This window comes from Homo sapiens, chromosome 21, assembly GCF_000001405.40.
Source record: "Homo sapiens chromosome 21, GRCh38.p14 Primary Assembly".
NCBI lineage: Eukaryota > Metazoa > Chordata > Mammalia > Primates > Hominidae > Homo > Homo sapiens.
This window is the reverse complement of record NC_000021.9, coordinates 45,543,476-45,559,406: the sequence shown is the minus strand read 5'-3', so window position 1 is coordinate 45,559,406 and position 15,931 is coordinate 45,543,476. Positions and strand designations below refer to the sequence as shown.

Genomic DNA, 15,931 nt, shown 5'->3' with positions numbered 1-15,931 from the left:
CCCTGGCCATTTTCAGTGTGTGTGTTTGTCTCCTTGTCGGTGCGTGGTGACACCTCACCGACCTAAATACACAGATGGGGGCAATTCCCTGATGGACCCAGGACACCGACACTCACCCGGCCTCAACGTTGCGATGTTTCCACACAGCTGAGGGGCTGGCAGTTCTTCATGGTGCTTTTTGACTTAAAGATGTTTTTAGGTTGGATGCAAGCACATCTACTCATCTTTTCCTTTGTGATTTCTGCCACTGACATTCCCAAATTTATGTAGTTATTGACTTCCACATGAAAATTCAATTTAGGCCAGGCACGGTGGCTCATGCCTGTAATCCCAGCACTTTGGATGGCTGAGGTGGATGGATCACGAGGTCAAGAGATCGAGACCATCCTGGCCAACATGGTGAAACCCCGTCTCTACTAAAAATACAAAAATTAGCTGGGCGTGGTGGTGTGCACCTGTAATCCCAGCTACTTGGGAGGCTGAGGCAGGAGAATCGCTTGAACCTGGGAGGCAGAGGTTGTAGTCAGCTGAGATTGCAGCATTGCACTCCAGCCTGGGGACCTAGCCAGACTCCACCTCAAAAAAAAAAAAAAGAAAAAAGAAAAAGAAAATTCAATTTAACTGAAATGTGTTTCCCTGTGTGCTGAGAAATTGGAACACAGCTCCACCTTGTTCCAAGCAACCAGGTGGCCGTACTCTGTCCTGCCCTGGCAACAAGGCTGCCCCGACTCCCTCAGATTCCCAGCCGCAGGGCTTCCTGTAGCAGCTCCGCTCCCTACCTGTGCCTGCCCTCGCTCAAACCAAACGCAGTCCTCTCACACATTTATTTCTGGGGCTGAACTCAAGTCACACTGGCCACATACGAAGAAGAAACACCCTCTGCAGCCTGGTCACAGCCCCACCTGCTGCATCCCTGGGAAGATCCCCAAGGCTCGCCGGCCAGCACCCCTTCTGCGGCACCACTGCCTTCCCGGGTTCTCAGGGGGTCTCACTGCAGTGACAATGGGGCGAATCCTTCAAAGATTGAAGGGCCCACTGGGGATTTCTCAGCAGCCAGAGCTGCAGGCCCACACCCTGGGGCCAGGCTGCAGAGCCAGCATGTCCGAGTCCCAGCTGAGGTCCAGCCAGCCGTGGCCCACCTGGACTTGGGGGGTCTCAGCCTGTCGTCTTGGATGGTGGGTGTCATGCACTTGTCTGGCCTGATCTGTCACCAGCCGTGTGGAGTCCGACTAGAGAGCCTTGGCCCCGAAGGGTTTTCAGAAGCCGCCTCCAGTCTCTCGTCAGCACGGGACGTGCTAACCACTGAGCCCAGGCTTGGAGACGATGCCGCCGCTGTCTGAATATGGAGCCACTCGGCACAGACTGCCTTGGATGGCATGACTCTAAAAATATCCCCAAATAGGTGGCCTCCTGGTCATGCCCTCCGAAGAATGGAGCTCATGTCTAAACAGGAATGATTCCGTCAGACACGCAGGAGGCAAAGGTGAGCATCACACTATCACTCCCCACGCCACTGGGCTCAGGAGGCCAAGTCCGAGTGCCGAGGGCACGGCCACCCCCACACCTGCTTCCCCTCCGCAACTGTCTGGGCTGCGTCTGTGCTGTTAGTTGAGCAGAGGGCTCAGCCTGAGCCGGGACAAGCTCCTCACTAGCATCCCCGAGAGTCACCAGAGCGCAGGACACGGTCCAAGAGAGGCACACTGTCTGAGTGTGGTGGAGGGTTGAGGCTCCCCGGGAGCCTCAGAGCATCCCTTCTGCTCAATTCAGGGCAGTGAGTGGCCTTGGTTTGGGCCCCTGCACCCTGGTCCTGGTCACTGCACAAACCCCCAGCCCTCGCTCCTCTGCTCTGGCCATGAACCACTGCAGGGCTGTGGCTGGAGCAGGACACTCCAGGCGGACACTCACATGCCAGCAGCCTCCGGGCCCAACCGTCTCTGTGACAGAGACTACCAGCAAGGTGTGCAGGACCCGGGGCTCAGGGCCAGGCTGGGGCCACAAGGCACAGGCCAGCACCTGGTTCACCCAGAGCAGACGAGAAGCCTCAGGAGAATGTGGCACGGGCTACGGGGTCAAAGCCGGGGACTCCAGGGTGTCACGAGGCCAAGGTCTGTCTCCACTGATAGGGAAGACCCATCTCCCGGGCCGCTGTCTGAGCCCCAGTGCTCTGGCCTCGGGTTCTCTATCTCAAATCCCTTCCTGCTGCCAGGGCTTCAGCAGCCCCAGGGCCCAGCCTCCAGCTCCGTTCTTCCTGAGTCCTGGGCAGCTCCATGCAGCGGGTGCCATTGTGCAAGGAGCTGACACGTGGGGAGGCAGTGGCTGGTGCCCAAGTCCTGGTACCAGGGCACTGGCCAGGCCAGGGCTGAGCCCAGGGGAGGTTACATGGTGTCCAGAGGCCTCTCGGAGTAGCCAGGCCTCTGAGGCGCCGTCCCAGGAGACACATGCATCTGAGTCGCCGTCCCAGGAGACACATGCGTCTGAGGTGCCGTCCCAGGTGACACATGCATCTGAGTCGCCGTCCCAGGAGACACGTGCAGGCCGGTTGCTGTGCAGGGCCCCCAGGAAGCCCCGGCCACAGGACTCCCATGCCACCCTCCACCCCGCCTCTCTCCCCATCCAAGATCTTCCAGAGGACGTGAGAGAACATTTAAAATACTTTGGTGCAACAGAGACAGATCAGCCACAGAGCGCTTGACAACGTCCTGTTCTGTCCTGTCTGTGGCAGCTCCGGCCATGTCCCTGGCCCCCACCCCATGTCTCCTGGTGCTATGGCTGCAGACAGGTGTGTCACTGACTGGTTTCGTCTGCACGGTGTTTTGAGAAGAATTCAGTTAGTTTTAATTAGTACAAATTTAATCAATTTTAATTAATTTTAACTAGCTAATTTTAAGTCTTTAATTAGTTAAGAAAGGCAGGATTTCACATAAGAATTACAGATTTCAAGCTTCTCTTGAAAAGTTGGAAGCACCAAACACCCAAGCCCGGGCGCTGGTGGGGAGCAGCGGGGGAGGCCGAGCTGCTGACGAGCGGGTCTGGCTCAGAGCAGCGTCCACCCTCGGCCCTCACAGGCCCCGCTGCCCTGCCGCCAGGGCTTGAGCTTGCAGTCTTGGGTCCGCCCGGTCTTTCTGTCTGCGGTGGAGGTAGAGACGCTGACGTGCTCAGCTTAGGAGTCTCAGGTCTCCCCGGGCCGCAGGCCGTGAGGACCTCTGCTGGTCATCCCCGGGGTGGCTGCAGCCACCCTCTTCCGGGGACTGGAACGGGAGCGTCCTTGTGGCCAGGAGGGGACCCTGCTGGTGGCCGCCCGATGCTCAGGCCCCTCTTTCCACCTCTGTGTGCCCCACCCCAGCTTCTGTTCTCGGCTTTGACCTGTGACCTCCGACCTTCAGAGGATTAGGGCGGGGGTCTTCCTGGAAACCTCAGAGGATCGTCTGTCCCGTGGTCACCTCGCGGGAGTAGACCTTGCTGCATGCGCACCGTGGCCATCTCCCGGGTGTAGAGCTTGCTCCATGCGCAGCGTCGCGGTGATGTCACTCACTGGGCCCGCAGGGACCACGTGGATCCTGCCTCAGGGTCCGCGACCCCCTCCCGGCACCTCCAGGACCGCGCATGGGCGGCAGCCGGGCCCCTCGGCTGGCGCGGAACTCTGCGTGGGTCGCTTTCTGCCAGCGCCCGCCGTTCGCGTGGAGCCCACCCTGCTCGGGAGGCTACGGTCCCAGGGCCTAGGCCAGCCTCAGGCACTCCCCACGCGGGCCGCCCCGCCCCGCCCCGCCCTCCTGAGTCCCAAGTGCCCGGGACGGTGGGTTGGCCTGCAGCCCCTTAGCCCCCGCGCGGGGCCACGCAAGCCCGTCCCCTTTCGCCGCCGCCCCCGCCGCCGCCCCCTGCACCTCCGTTCCCTGCAACCCGCGTCGCCTGCATGGCCACCCAAGCCGGTTCCCCTTCCCCCCACAACCTCCCCCATCCCCCTCCCGCCCCCAACACCCCCCACGGCCCCCAGCTCTCCACACCGCCCCTGCCTCCCATACTGTCCCCGCCGCCCCTGCAACCCCCACCCCCACCTGCAGCGCTGCCGCCCCCGCCGCCCCCCGCCGCCCCCCGCCGCCCCCGCCGCCCCCTGCGCCGCCCCCTGCGCCGCCCCCTGCGCCGCCCCCTGCGCCGCCCCCTGCGCCGCCCCCTGCGCCGCCCCCCGGCGCCCCCCACCGCCCCCTGCGCCGCCCCCGCCGCCCCCTGCACCGCCCCCTGCGCCGCCCCCGCCGCCCCCTGCACCGCCCCCTGCGTCGCGAGGCTGCTGGGCTGGGACCCGCGGAGGCTCCGGGCGCCGCTCGCCCCCTGGTGGCCACTCCCCGCGTTGCGTCGGGGAAACCCGAGGCCTCCAGGCGCGCGCACAGGGCGGCCCCACGCATAACCTGGACGTGCTCCTGGGCGCGGGGTTCTGGAAACATCGACCCAGGGAATGGACCGAAAGTACCGATGTCGTCAAAGGGGCTGCTTCTGGGGAGAAGGCGAGGGGCCTCGCCACTGAAGCCGGGAACAGGGCCCGCTGCTGGGACTCAATGAATCTGGACAGTTAAAAGCAAATAAGATGGGAAAAACCGAAACCGTAAGAGAAAGATTCACTTGTCAACTTGTCATAACAATAATAGTAAAAATGATAGCACAGCAGCTTTAGTCACCACAGCCAAGCGGAAGGAGATGTCCAAATGTCCATCCATAAATGAAAAATCAAAATGTGGAGACGCACACAGGAAGGATCGCCGGCCTGAAAGGAAGTTTCCACGCCGCTGCCCCGTGCAGGGACCTGGAGACACGATGCTGAGTGCCCCTGGCCAGGCACAAGAGGACGCCCCCTGTGCGTGGTTCCACTCAGAGGCCCCGCGGTGGCCAGACCCGGCCAGAAAGTGGGATGGGGGCGCAGGGGATTGGGAGGGGGGCGCGGGGGATTGGGGGGGCATGGGGGACTGGGATGGGGGCGCGGGGGACTGGGATGGGGCGTGGGGGATTGGGAGGGGGCGTGGGGGACTGGGAAGGGGGCGCGGGGGGATTGGGAGGGGGCGCGGGGGATTGGGAGGGGGCGTGGGGGATTGGGAGGGGGCGTGGGGGACTGGGAGGGGGCGCGGGGAGATTGGGAGGGGGCGCGGGGGATTGGGGGAGCATGGGGGATTGGGATGGGGCGTGGGGGACTGGGATGGGGCGCGGGGGACTGGGATGGGGCGTGGGGGACTGGGAGGGGGCGTGGGGGATTGGGAGGGGGCGTGGGGGACTGGGAGGGGGCGTGGGGGATTGGGAGGGGGTGTGGGGGACTGGGAAGGGGGCGCGGGGGGACTAGGAGGGGGGCGCGGGGGGATTGGGAGGGGGCGCGGGGGACTGGGAGGGGGCGCGGGGAGATTGGGATGGGGCGCGGGGGACTGGGAGGGGGCGCGGGGGATTGGGGGAGCATGGGGGATTGGGATGGGGCGTGGGGGACTGGGAGGGGGGCACGGGGGACTGGGAGGGGGGCTCGGGGGACTGGGATGGGGCGTGGAGGACTGGGAGGGGGTGTGGGGGACTGGGAGGGGGTGTGGGGGACTGGGAGGGGGCGTGGGGGACTGGGAGGGGGCGTGGGGGACTGGGAGGGGGCGTGGGGGATTGGGAGGGGGTGTGGGGGACTGGGATGGGGCGTGGGGGATTGGGAGGGGGTGTGGGGGATTGGGAGGGGGTGTGGGGGACTGGGATGGGGCGTGGGGGACTGGGATGGGGTGTGGGGGACTGGGAAGGGGGCGCGGGGGGACTAGGAGGGGGGCGCGGGGGGATTGGGGGTGAGTGTGTCTTGGGTGCAGAGCTTCAGTTTTGCAGGACGAAAGAGTTCTGGAGATGATGGGGGTGACGGCCGCACAACAGTGTGAATGTCCTTAATGCCATTGAAGTGTGCAGTTAAAAATAGTTAACATGGTACATTTTATGTCTCTTTTACCACAAAAAAAATACAAAATAATAACAGCAAGGCCTAGGGCTGGCACTGTGATGGGCCGGGCTGCCTCCCACTGAGCCGTGTCCCCTGTGGCTCCTCTGGACTTTATCCCGGGGACCCTCATGGGCTGGAGGGAGGATGTGGCCTGGAGTCGTGTCCTTCACACAGCACCATGACCCTTGCACAGGTCCTAAAGGTCAGCGGCTCCCGTCCCCTTAGGCCGGTGGGAGGGATGCGCGGTGCCTGGAAGGACCAGTAGAGCTTGCAGGGCAGGACCCAGCCCCAGCCTCTGCTTACAAAACTGCACCCACGGCAGCAAAGGCCCCTGCCCTCCAGGCCCAGCCTCCAGCGAGGCCCCCGCTCCGGTCCTGCCCCAGCCCTGAGCCTGGCCACCTGCCGCCCGGTGGAGTCTTGTTTTAGTGGAATCTGCCCCCTGCGATTTGCCAGGAGGAAGAGCTTCCATTGCGCGAGGTCTTGTGTAAAAGTGAGCACATGGGGGGCGCCACGGAGAGCTGGGGCTGGCACTGCCCTGGGTGCCCTGTTCTGGGCGAGAGGCCGTCTGCTCTGCTGGTGACCGTGGATTATAGCACACAGCCGTCGTGTGTTTTGAGCAGTGTCCTCCTATCAGCACAAACGCAGGGACAGGGTGGACGGGCGGACCAGCCCAGAGACTCCCGTGTCAGGTCAGACTCATGGGCCAGGAATGACCTGCAGGCTCCGCATTAGGGGTCTGGGACACACCCAGGGCCAGGATGAGACTGGCCCCAACCCACTAAGACCCGCTCCACTTCGCTGAGACCAGCCCCTCTCTGCTGGGGCTGGGGCTGTCCCGGGTGCCCTGTTCTGGGCGAGAGGCTGTCTGCTCTGCTGGTGACTGCGGATTATAGCACGCGCTAATCCCTCCTCCACGTGGTCCCGAGACCCGGGCCTGGGTAGGACCCGGGGTCTCTGCACATTCGAGGGCTGCGGTCCTGGCCTGGCCTGAGCCTCCGGGTGGGTGTCGCTCTCCCCAGGGGCTCTCCCTGGGGCCCCCGACCCAACAGCCACCGATGTCCACACTGCCTGCTGGTGGCACAGCCTGTGGGTCTCCCTGGAGTGGACAGGAGGGCAGTTTTGTTCTTTCCCTGGGACACTCCTGAGAGCTGGACCAGCCTGACCCCTGCTGCTCAGGCTGGGAGGGAGGTCCTGAGGCCAGGATGTAGCTCCCCTGGGCAGACACAGATGCAGCAGCAGCAGCCCAGCCTCTTCTTTGGCCCATCGCAGATCTCTCTGGTCTGACAGTGGCCTCACCCACTCCCTGGGGTCATCACTGTCTCCTCCTGAGGAGGCCGTCAGTCCCCACCACACAGCCAGCCCCATGGAGCGGCGAGACAGTGGGTCAGACACTCGGGCAGACACCTTTTGTAGAAAAGCAAATTCCACCCCATGCTCTGAGGAACGCACCTGAAACAGCCATAAGGAGGCCGCACAGGAAGCCGAGGTCTCAGGCCAGCGTGGCGGCAGAACACGCAGGCGGTGTGGGTCCATCTCCACACTGCCCTAAAGTACGGACATAAAGGCGTGGACATGCAGGGAGGCGCGAACCCCAGTCACGGCGGGGCCCTTCACTCTGGCAAACTTGACACATACCCCAGACAATGCATGAATGAGGCTATCAGAGATTGAAATCCCACTATTTGCAATTTAGATTTTATTCATATAAAACACGATGTGCATAGAGAATATGCATTTTTCGAAAGCCCATGAAAAAGTTTAAAACATAACCCAAAACCAAGCCACAAATCGAAGCTCAAAACAATTTCACAAAATGAATACCTGCTTAGGCCACGTTCTTTGATCTGAACTTTATAAAACGACATATTAAACCAACAAACAACAACATCTGCCTACTGGAAACGTTTGAATCATTCTCTGTAATGAGTCATGAGTCCAAGAGGAAATCAAGCAAAAATCACGTCCTACGTAGAGGCTGACAGCAACAAGTGTAGTGACACAGCGTCCATGGGCCTGGCCAAAGGTGCCCCGTGAGAGGAATGAATTATTAAATGGTTTATTATTCCTAGTTTTATTCAAATTAAAGGAACATAGCAGTTAACTCAGAAACTAGAACAGGAAAGGAACAACAAAGTCAACAGGAAAAAGAAAAAATAATGAGAAAAGCAGAAATTAATTAATTGGAAAGCAATTAAAACTTGATTTTTTTTGTTTTTTTCCTTTGAGATGGAGTCTCGCTCTTGTCGCCCAGGCTGGAGTGCAGTGTCTCGGCTCACTGCAACCTCCACCTCCCGGGTTCAAGCTATTCTCCTGCCTCAGCCTCTTAAGTAAAACTTGAGTTTTTAGATCCAAAAGGTAGTTCCTTGAAAGAAAATAAGAGGAACAGAGAGTGCAACCAACCCAGGCGTAGCTGGGACTGTGAAGAACAGGAAAGGGACTAAGACAAGGGGGAAGGTAGAGGAGGAAGTGGGTGTTGTGGGGAGGAGAATGGAGGCGGGGGCCAGTGCTGGGAAGGTTGAGGAGGGTGGGGGAAGGGTTGTGGGGAGGCGGGGGGAGGGTGGGGGGCGGTGGTGGGAGGGAAGGGGACAGAAAGGCGGAGGAGAGGGGAGGAAGGCAGAGGAGGGAGGCAGGGAGGGGAGATGGGTGTGGAGGTAAGGGAGGTTGAGAAGGTGGAGGAGAGGAGAGGGGTCTGCAGACTGCACGCCCCTGCACTACTGCGTGTGAAAATTGAGAGGGAACGCCAGTCATCCAGGAACACATGAATACTGAAACATTCAGAAGAAGACGACGAAATCTGCATGCAACAAAACCACGGAAGCCCGGGGCCTGCAAGGCCAAGCCTCCCGGCGGGGCTGCTGTGATCCTGAACCGTGAATGGAGAGCTGGCTGTGGTCTCCCCTTGGCTGGGAGAACTGAGCTCCATCCTGCCCAAATCTCCCTGTTTATTTCATGCAGTTCCATTCTGGATCTAATAAGACCGTGTAGTCAAGGAAATTCCAGCTGGAGAACCAGCCCTTTCCACGTGGAAACGTTCACTTGTGCTTGTGGACGGGGTGGCAGGTGGCCCATGGGAAGAAGGGAGCACAGAAGACCCCATCTCCAAGCGGTCTGGCATACGAGGGCCTGAGGTGTCTGTGGGGGCTGGAGAGAACCAACAGCTGCCACCTGGGGACACAGTCTCATGTGACCCTTTGGGGCTCAGAGGTCTCATCAGGCAGGAGGCGCCTCCCCAGGAGGGAAACACCCCAAACCACAGAAGTGACCAGGGCGGTGCATGGGGTGTGGGAGAGACCAGGAGGAGGTGCCAGCCTGGGCTGGGTGGGCAGGAGCAGGATGCACAGCAGCCCAGGAGGGGCTGGGATGGGGTGGGCGGTACCCCACACTGACCCCCACTGTCCACTTTTGGCCAATGCTGCAACATCCGCATGTGCCAGCCTGGCCGGGGAGAGACAGTTCCCAAGATGCCAGAGAGTTCGGGGCTCTGCAGCCTGGGAGGGCTGCCCTGGGGCTAAGAAGGGGCAGAGATGAGGGTCTCTGTGGGGACAAGATGTGAAGGAGGTCACATGGAGACCTACGTGGCTGGAGCATACTGGACCTGTACCCCATCTGCAACCAAGAGCCACAGTGTGCGCCCAGCTGTCCCCTCCCCACCGTCCACCACCCCCCACCTGTCCTCCTCCCCACAATCCGCCAAGTGTCCCCCTCCCCACCACCAACCACCTGTCCCCTGCCCCTCCCCCACCACCTATCCCCCTCCCCACCACCCACCACCTCTCCCCCTGCCCCTCCCCCACCACCTGTCCCCCTCCCCACCACCCACTACCTGTCCCCCTGCCCCTCCCCTGCCACATCACTGCCCTTTTCTCCCGAGGCTGAGGCTGTTCTGGGTTCTCCCTTGTAACCAACTGAGGCCTGGATTGTCTCCCAAGAGACACGAGAGGGCTTGGAGCATTCGACTTGCTTCCAGGCCTTTCCCCCACTTCCAGCAGTGCAGGCTTTTAAAAAACAATTTTATCGAGGTGCAATTCACATGCCATAAATTGCACCCATTAGAAGCAGTTGTTAAACATGTCTGACAGATGAACACAACCATTAACCTCTACCCCCATCAGACACAGAACAATTCCACTGACCCCGAGCCTCCACCACAGGCACCTGCTCACCTGCCTCCTTCCAGGACGGAGCCTCCCTCCCCTACAGATGGACTTTCCCAGGCTGGACTCTGGCCCCTCCAGCACGAGGGTGCTGAGACTCACTCAGTTGTTATTTCCTTTTAGTCTGAGTAGTCCCTGTTATGTGGATGTACTGCGTGTTTATCCTTCATCCCATAATGGATATTCGGGTTGTTGCCAGTTTTTAGCAGTTACATGAGAACAGGGTACAACCCCTGTGCATGGGCTTTTGTGGGATCATGCATTCACATCTCTTCAACAGATGCCTAGGAGTGGAACTGTGGTTCATAAAGTAGACACGTGTTAAACTCCACAAGAAGCTGCCCCACTGTTTTCCAAAGTGTTTGTAACATTTCACATCCCCATATACTACTCCACAGCCTTGTCAACACTTAGTATTGTCAGCTTCTTAAATTTTAGCCTTTATAGTAGGAGTGGTTTGGTACTTCAGGCCTTAATGACAAAGGATTATGATATTTATGATATTAGGTACATTTTCACGTCTTATTTAAGTGTTCAAATCTTTTGCATATATTTATTTATTTATTTATTTTTTTAGACAGAGTCTTACTCTGTCGCCCAGGCTGGAGTGCAGAGGTGAGCTCTCGGCTCATTGCAACCTCCACCTCCCAGATTCAAGCAATTCTCCTGCCTCAGCCTCCTGAGTAGCTGGGACTACAGGCACCCGCCACCACACCAGCCTCATTTTTGTATTTTTAGTAGAGGTGGGGTTTCACCATGTTGGCCAGGCTGGTCTTGAACTCCTGACTTCAAGTGACCAACCTGCCTCGGCCTCCCAAAGTGCTGGGATTACAGGTGTGAGCCACTGCGCCCGGCCTCTTTTGTGTGTTTTAAGAAGTGGGCTATTTTCTTATTACTCAGTTGTAAGCGTCACTTACGTGTCTGGATACAAGTCCTGTATCAGATACAAGGAATATGAATGTTTCCTCCCAGGTGTGGCATTTTGTTTGCTTCCTGTGTCACTGGACACAGATCTACAAGTTTGACAGGGTTAGCTTTTAGTTTGGGTCTCAAATTAGTGTTTGTGAAAGGGACGTGATAAAGTCTGATGTTCATCTTCCCCTGTGGATATCCAGCTGTTCTTGAACTATGTGATCTAGAGACCACCCTTTCCCCAAATGAATTACGTGGACACCCTTGTTGGAAATCTGTGGTCCATGTGGGTGGTCCTATTGCCGGACTCCACCAGCTTCCCTTGGTCTCCATATCTCTGAGCTCTCCGACGTCACTTTTCTTAGTCACAATTGTTCTGGCTATTGTAAGTCTTTTGCATTTCCATCTCAATTCTGAATCAACATTTCAATTTCTAAGAAATAAGCCTGTGAGATCTCTGTTGGATTGCACTGAATCTATGGATCAATTTGGGGAGAATGTTCACCTTAATAATGAGCCTTCCAATTGTCAATGAAAAGAGTCAAACTATGTAAAATATATGAAGAGATTTATGCTGAGCCAAATATGAGTGACCATGACCCTTGACGCAGCCCTCAGGAGATCCTAAAACATGCGTCCAAGGTGACTGGGCACAGCCTGGTCTCATACATTTAAGGGAACATGAGACACCAATCAAATACATGTAAGATATACACTGCTCTGGTGTGGAAAGGTGGGACAACCTGGTGGGGGCTGGCTTCCAGGTTACAGGTAAAGCTAAACATGTCGGGATTGGCAATTGGTTGAAAGAGTTATTATCAATAGAAAGGGATGTCTAGGTTAAGTAAGGGGTTGTGGAGATCAAAGTTTTAGCAGCAGATGAAGTCTCTGGGTCGCAGGCTTCAAAGACTAGATTCTAAATGATTCTTATCAGACTTAAGGTCTGTGTTGACGTTGAAAGTTGGTCGGCTTTCCCTGAATTCCAAAAGGGGGTCAGGTATAATGACGAGTATCCATCCCTCCCTTCCCCTCATGGCCTGAACCAGTTTTTCAGGTTAACTTTGGAATGCCCTTGCCCAGAGGAGTGGTCTGTTCAGACGGTTGGGGGCTTAGAAGTTTATTTTTGGTTTACACAATCCATGAACAAGGTCTGTCTCCCCCATTTGTTTAGCTCTTCACTAATTTCTCTCAGTAATGTTCTGCAGCTTTCGGTATAGAGAACTTACACATTTTTCATTAAATGCATTCTTAGATATTTTCTGATTTTCATTGGCGTTGTAAATACTGTTTTTCAAATTCTGTCTTCCAATTATTTGTTGCTAGATTATAGAAGTACAATTACTTTTGTATATAGACTTAGTATCTCATGACCTTGCTAAATGCCCTTATTTCTAGTATTTTTGATAACCTGTTAGGATTTACTGCCCTGACAATTGCATCATCTGTGAACAGAGACTCTGCCGCTTCCTTCCCAATCATTTTGTCTTCTAATGTCACGCTTAGGTTTCTCGGATAGCTTGCTTGCAACCAAGATGCATGCCTGTGATTGTGGCGGAGCTTGATGCAAACCTCCTCCGACCGCAGGATGTTCCTGTAGCCGGACATCACTCCACCTGTGGGCAGGAGGGTTATCACCTCCAAGTTCTGGAAATGAGGACCAGGCAGTGTAGGCTTCAAACTCCACCTTGCAGTAGGCCAGATTTCCACTGGTTATTTTAATGTTTTTCGAACACTCTTTCGTTAGATGACATTATTCTAAACAGCTGCCTGTGATTCCAAAGAGGTTCAAACCTCCCCCTTTCCCTAGTAAAGATGGGCTATTTAAGCATGATTTTGTGAAAGTCTGGCTATAGGGAGACTTGGGGGCATCGGGATTCAGTGTTCTGCTGCTGGGCCAGGCAGGGCTCAACTGGGAGGGGCTGGGCCTGCTAGGGCCGCTGTCCGGGGCCCCAGTGGGGCTCAGAATTCAACTCCATGCCCAGAGGACCAGGTGGGACACCCTTCCAGGGAAGAAGTGTGGCAGGCACAGGCCCAGGTTAGCCCCACTGCTGTGGGGCTGTGACAGGCTGTGAGGGACCTGCGCTCACTTGGGGGATGCGGAAGCCAGGAGCTCCGGGGCTCCAGGCAGGCCAGGGACAACGCTTCTTCCTCTGGGCTTTGCTTCTCCGCTCAGCTGCCACAGGGCTTCTGGCTTCTGGCTTCACAGACAAGGTGCTGAGGACGGTGGCCCGGCTCAGCCTCTGAGAGGATGGGGGCCACAGCTGCAGGCAGGCCTGGGCTTGGGGCTAGTGCTGGGAGGCCTGACACAGGGGCATCCATGTCAGTCCCCCTTCTCCAGACCTTTGGGCCCCTAGGCCCTTGTGATGGGCTACCCCTGGCCGCTGGGAGTGTTAGGAGGTCAGCTCGTGGAAAAAGTGGGGGCGAAGGCCTGGCGGGAGTGGGGGCTGGAGAGAGGGGCAGCTGCAGCAGAGACCCACTGGCCAGCAAGCCAGGTAAGGCATTTACAGGGCGCACCGCACCTCTACCAAGCAGATTCAGATGGGAGCAGAAGCACCTGTCATTCAGCAAGGTGAGACTGGGGAGACGTCTGGAAATGTGGGAGGAAAAACTGGCTGAGGCCATGTGCAGGCCAGTTCACTGCACATGCTGGGGCATGGCAGGCCGGTCCGCGCCCGTCTTCCTGCATATGGGGTGCCGTCTGCACGGGAGCATGCATGTGTATGTCTCTGTATCTCTGTGTCATGTGTATGTCTGTATGTTTACGTCTCTGTATCTGTGCATATGTCTTGGTGGTGTCTGTACGTGTGTGTACGTATGAGGGGGGCTGTTTTTGTGTTGCTATAAAGGAACACAGAGACTGGGTATCATAAAGAAAATAGGTGTAATTGGCTCACGGTTCTGCAGGCTGTACAGGAAGCATGGTGCCAGCATCTGCTCCTGGTGAGGCCTCAGGAAGCTTCCACACATGGTGGAAGGTGACGGGGAGCCAGCGTCACATAGCAAGAGTGGGAGGAGGGGAGGGCAAGGGGGGGGTCCCGGACTCTTTTAAACAACCTGCTCTTGAGTGAGCTAACTGAACAAGAACTCACTCATCACCAAGGTGATGGTGCTAAGCCATTCATGAGGGATCCGTCCTCATGATCCAACACCTCCCGCCAGGCCCCACTTCCAACACTGGGAATCACATTCCAACATGAGATTTGGAGGGGACAGAGAATCCAAACCACATCAGTGTGTGTGCGTGTCTGCGCATGTCTGTGTCCATCTGCATGTGCACGTCTCTGCACGTCTGCATGGATCTGTGTGTCTCTGTGCATGTGTGTCCATGTATTAGCATTTGGTCCAAGCCTTGCTTCCAGAGCCACAGCCACCACAACAGCACCAGCTGAGGGAAAGGGCTGCTCGAATGCCACTGCCTCCCTATGCTGACGGGGACCTTAACCACAGGGACAGCCCTGCGTCTCTCCAGCCAAGGCAGAGGACTGGCCGGTTGGTCTCAGAAGGCAGTGGGTGGGCAGGGTCCTCATTCTCTGGCAGAGATTTCTTGGGCCTGGACTATGGGTGCTAAGGCTGCCGGGGAGTGGGGGCCCAGGAGCTGGGGATGGGGCACTGCTGTGGGGTGGGCTGCAGAGCCCACCTGAGCCCCTCCAGGAGGGGAAGGGGTCTCTGCGGCCTGCAGCCCCCAGACATCACTGTATATGGCTGGAGCCTACAGGCTGGAGGGCCGGGATCCACACTGCTGGGCCCCTGCTGATCCCTCCAACCCAGGGCTTCTCCCAGGGACCAGCTCTCCCTGCCATCCCTGACGCTCAGGCACTTAACTATTTGACAAACCGATAATGAAACACGCAAGGACGGGGACCGCTGGAGGCTCGTGAGGGCCCAAGCACAGGATCCATTCCCAGATGCCAGTGTCACTCCCAAGTCACCTGCGTTTGTAAATCTCTATTTTGGGTGGAGCCCTCTGGAAGCCCACGCCCCACTGTCTGTGGCCACTCCTCGCAGTCCTCAATGGAGGTTTCTGTAAGTTCTTCACGAGTCTCCTGGCTCTTCCCTCAGAGCAGCTGCCTCTAGATTACAACTGCCAAGTGCTGTTGGTGGCAGAAGCCCTACCTCCCCACTCCGAAGCAGCTCCTGCAGGAAACCTGGGCCTTGTGTGGCTGGGGAACTCCCAGGACTCCTGCCACGCAGGGGGACCCGAGGGCAGCTTGGGCAGGCCCCTCGCGGCCGGGGGCGGATTCGCTCGGCTACACCTGACCGGAGAGACAGGTGAGGGACTGGTCTTTGTGGGTCCTGCGGGGTCCCCTTGGGGCTGTGGCTCCCTGCCTTGCTGTCTCCAGGCGGGAAGGGGGTGGGAGCCATCCTTCTGTGGGAAGGGGTCTAGGAGCCCCGCTGCTGTTCATCCCCACTTCCCCTCGGCTTCCTGGCCTGTCCTGCGTGTAAAGGGAGCAGGCTGCCCTGGCGAGCTGGCCCCATGGCTGGCTCCTCTCTGCCTGGAGGGAAGGAAGGGCCCCTCCTCCTCCGCGTTGCCCCTCCTGTCTTCCAGCAGGGCCAGGTTCTGCCCACCCGTGGAGAAGGCCAGTACAGGGGAGAGAGCCAGGGCTCCCACAAAGCAGGGGGTCCCTCCAGGTGAGGCGCTCCATCCTGTAGTGTTCCCTTAAATTCTGCAAGCTACCCCAGATCCCCCATTTCCAGCCAACAAATCCTTTTTAAGTTCCTTTGAGATTTGTTCGTGTGGCTTGCTACACTCAGGACTCTGGAAAGAAGGCCCAGGCCAGAGCTTTGGGCAGGCGGCCATTTAGGGCAAGGGCCCTGTGTTGGCTTCCTGGTGGGGTTGCCCTGCTGGTGGGCGGGAGACCAAGAGCACCCCCGCAACACCAGGAGGCAGGTCGCGGATTGTGCTGTCTACACTCCGGAAGGGGTACATTCC

At 57.9% G+C, this 15,931-nt stretch overlaps 1 protein-coding gene across 6 annotated transcripts in view, besides 6 other annotated features; it reads left to right on the top strand.

The window, feature by feature from the left end:
- SLC19A1 (solute carrier family 19 member 1) overlaps window positions 1-15,931 on the top strand; it is a 60,509-nt gene that overhangs the window by 3,619 nt on the left and 40,959 nt on the right. Inside the window, exons 2-3 of one of the 6 annotated variants that reach the window (XM_047440954.1) lie at window positions 14,782-14,938; window positions 15,061-15,270. The exons of 3 other annotated variants lie outside the window; for them this stretch is intronic. In XM_047440954.1, coding sequence (XP_047296910.1) covers window positions 14,907-14,938; window positions 15,061-15,270 — 242 coding nt within the window. In that variant the 5' untranslated portion in view covers window positions 14,782-14,906. Of the gene's footprint in view, window positions 1-14,769; window positions 14,939-15,060; window positions 15,271-15,545; window positions 15,631-15,931 lie in introns of those variants that run through there. 2 more of the 6 variants (XM_011529696.3, XM_017028443.2) reach the window with 2 other exon arrangements.
- Window positions 2,767-3,661: an enhancer, noted in NCBI's record as "H3K4me1 hESC enhancer chr21:46975660-46976554 (GRCh37/hg19 assembly coordinates)". NCBI's record gives its function as "activates a minimal SCP1, AML or CMV promoter by ChIP-STARR-seq in primed H9 embryonic stem cells {active_cell/tissue: H9 hESC(primed)}" and the evidence as "EXISTENCE:reporter gene assay evidence [ECO:0000049][PMID:30033119]".
- Window positions 3,237-3,486: an enhancer, noted in NCBI's record as "active region_18593". NCBI's record gives its function as "activates an Ori minimal core promoter by ATAC-STARR-seq in GM12878 lymphoblastoid cells {active_cell/tissue: GM12878}" and the evidence as "EXISTENCE:reporter gene assay evidence [ECO:0000049][PMID:35858748]".
- Window positions 4,172-4,451: a silencer, noted in NCBI's record as "silent region_13406". NCBI's record gives its function as "represses an Ori minimal core promoter by ATAC-STARR-seq in GM12878 lymphoblastoid cells {active_cell/tissue: GM12878}" and the evidence as "EXISTENCE:reporter gene assay evidence [ECO:0000049][PMID:35858748]".
- Window positions 8,493-8,552: a silencer, noted in NCBI's record as "silent region_13405". NCBI's record gives its function as "represses an Ori minimal core promoter by ATAC-STARR-seq in GM12878 lymphoblastoid cells {active_cell/tissue: GM12878}" and the evidence as "EXISTENCE:reporter gene assay evidence [ECO:0000049][PMID:35858748]".
- Window positions 9,120-9,276: a silencer, noted in NCBI's record as "fragment chr21:46970045-46970201 (GRCh37/hg19 assembly coordinates)". NCBI's record gives its function as "represses an EF-1alpha promoter that drives an FKBP-Casp9 reporter gene in an ReSE screen in K562 erythroleukemia cells {active_cell/tissue: K562}" and the evidence as "EXISTENCE:reporter gene assay evidence [ECO:0000049][PMID:32094911]".
- Window positions 9,173-9,222: an enhancer, noted in NCBI's record as "active region_18592". NCBI's record gives its function as "activates an Ori minimal core promoter by ATAC-STARR-seq in GM12878 lymphoblastoid cells {active_cell/tissue: GM12878}" and the evidence as "EXISTENCE:reporter gene assay evidence [ECO:0000049][PMID:35858748]".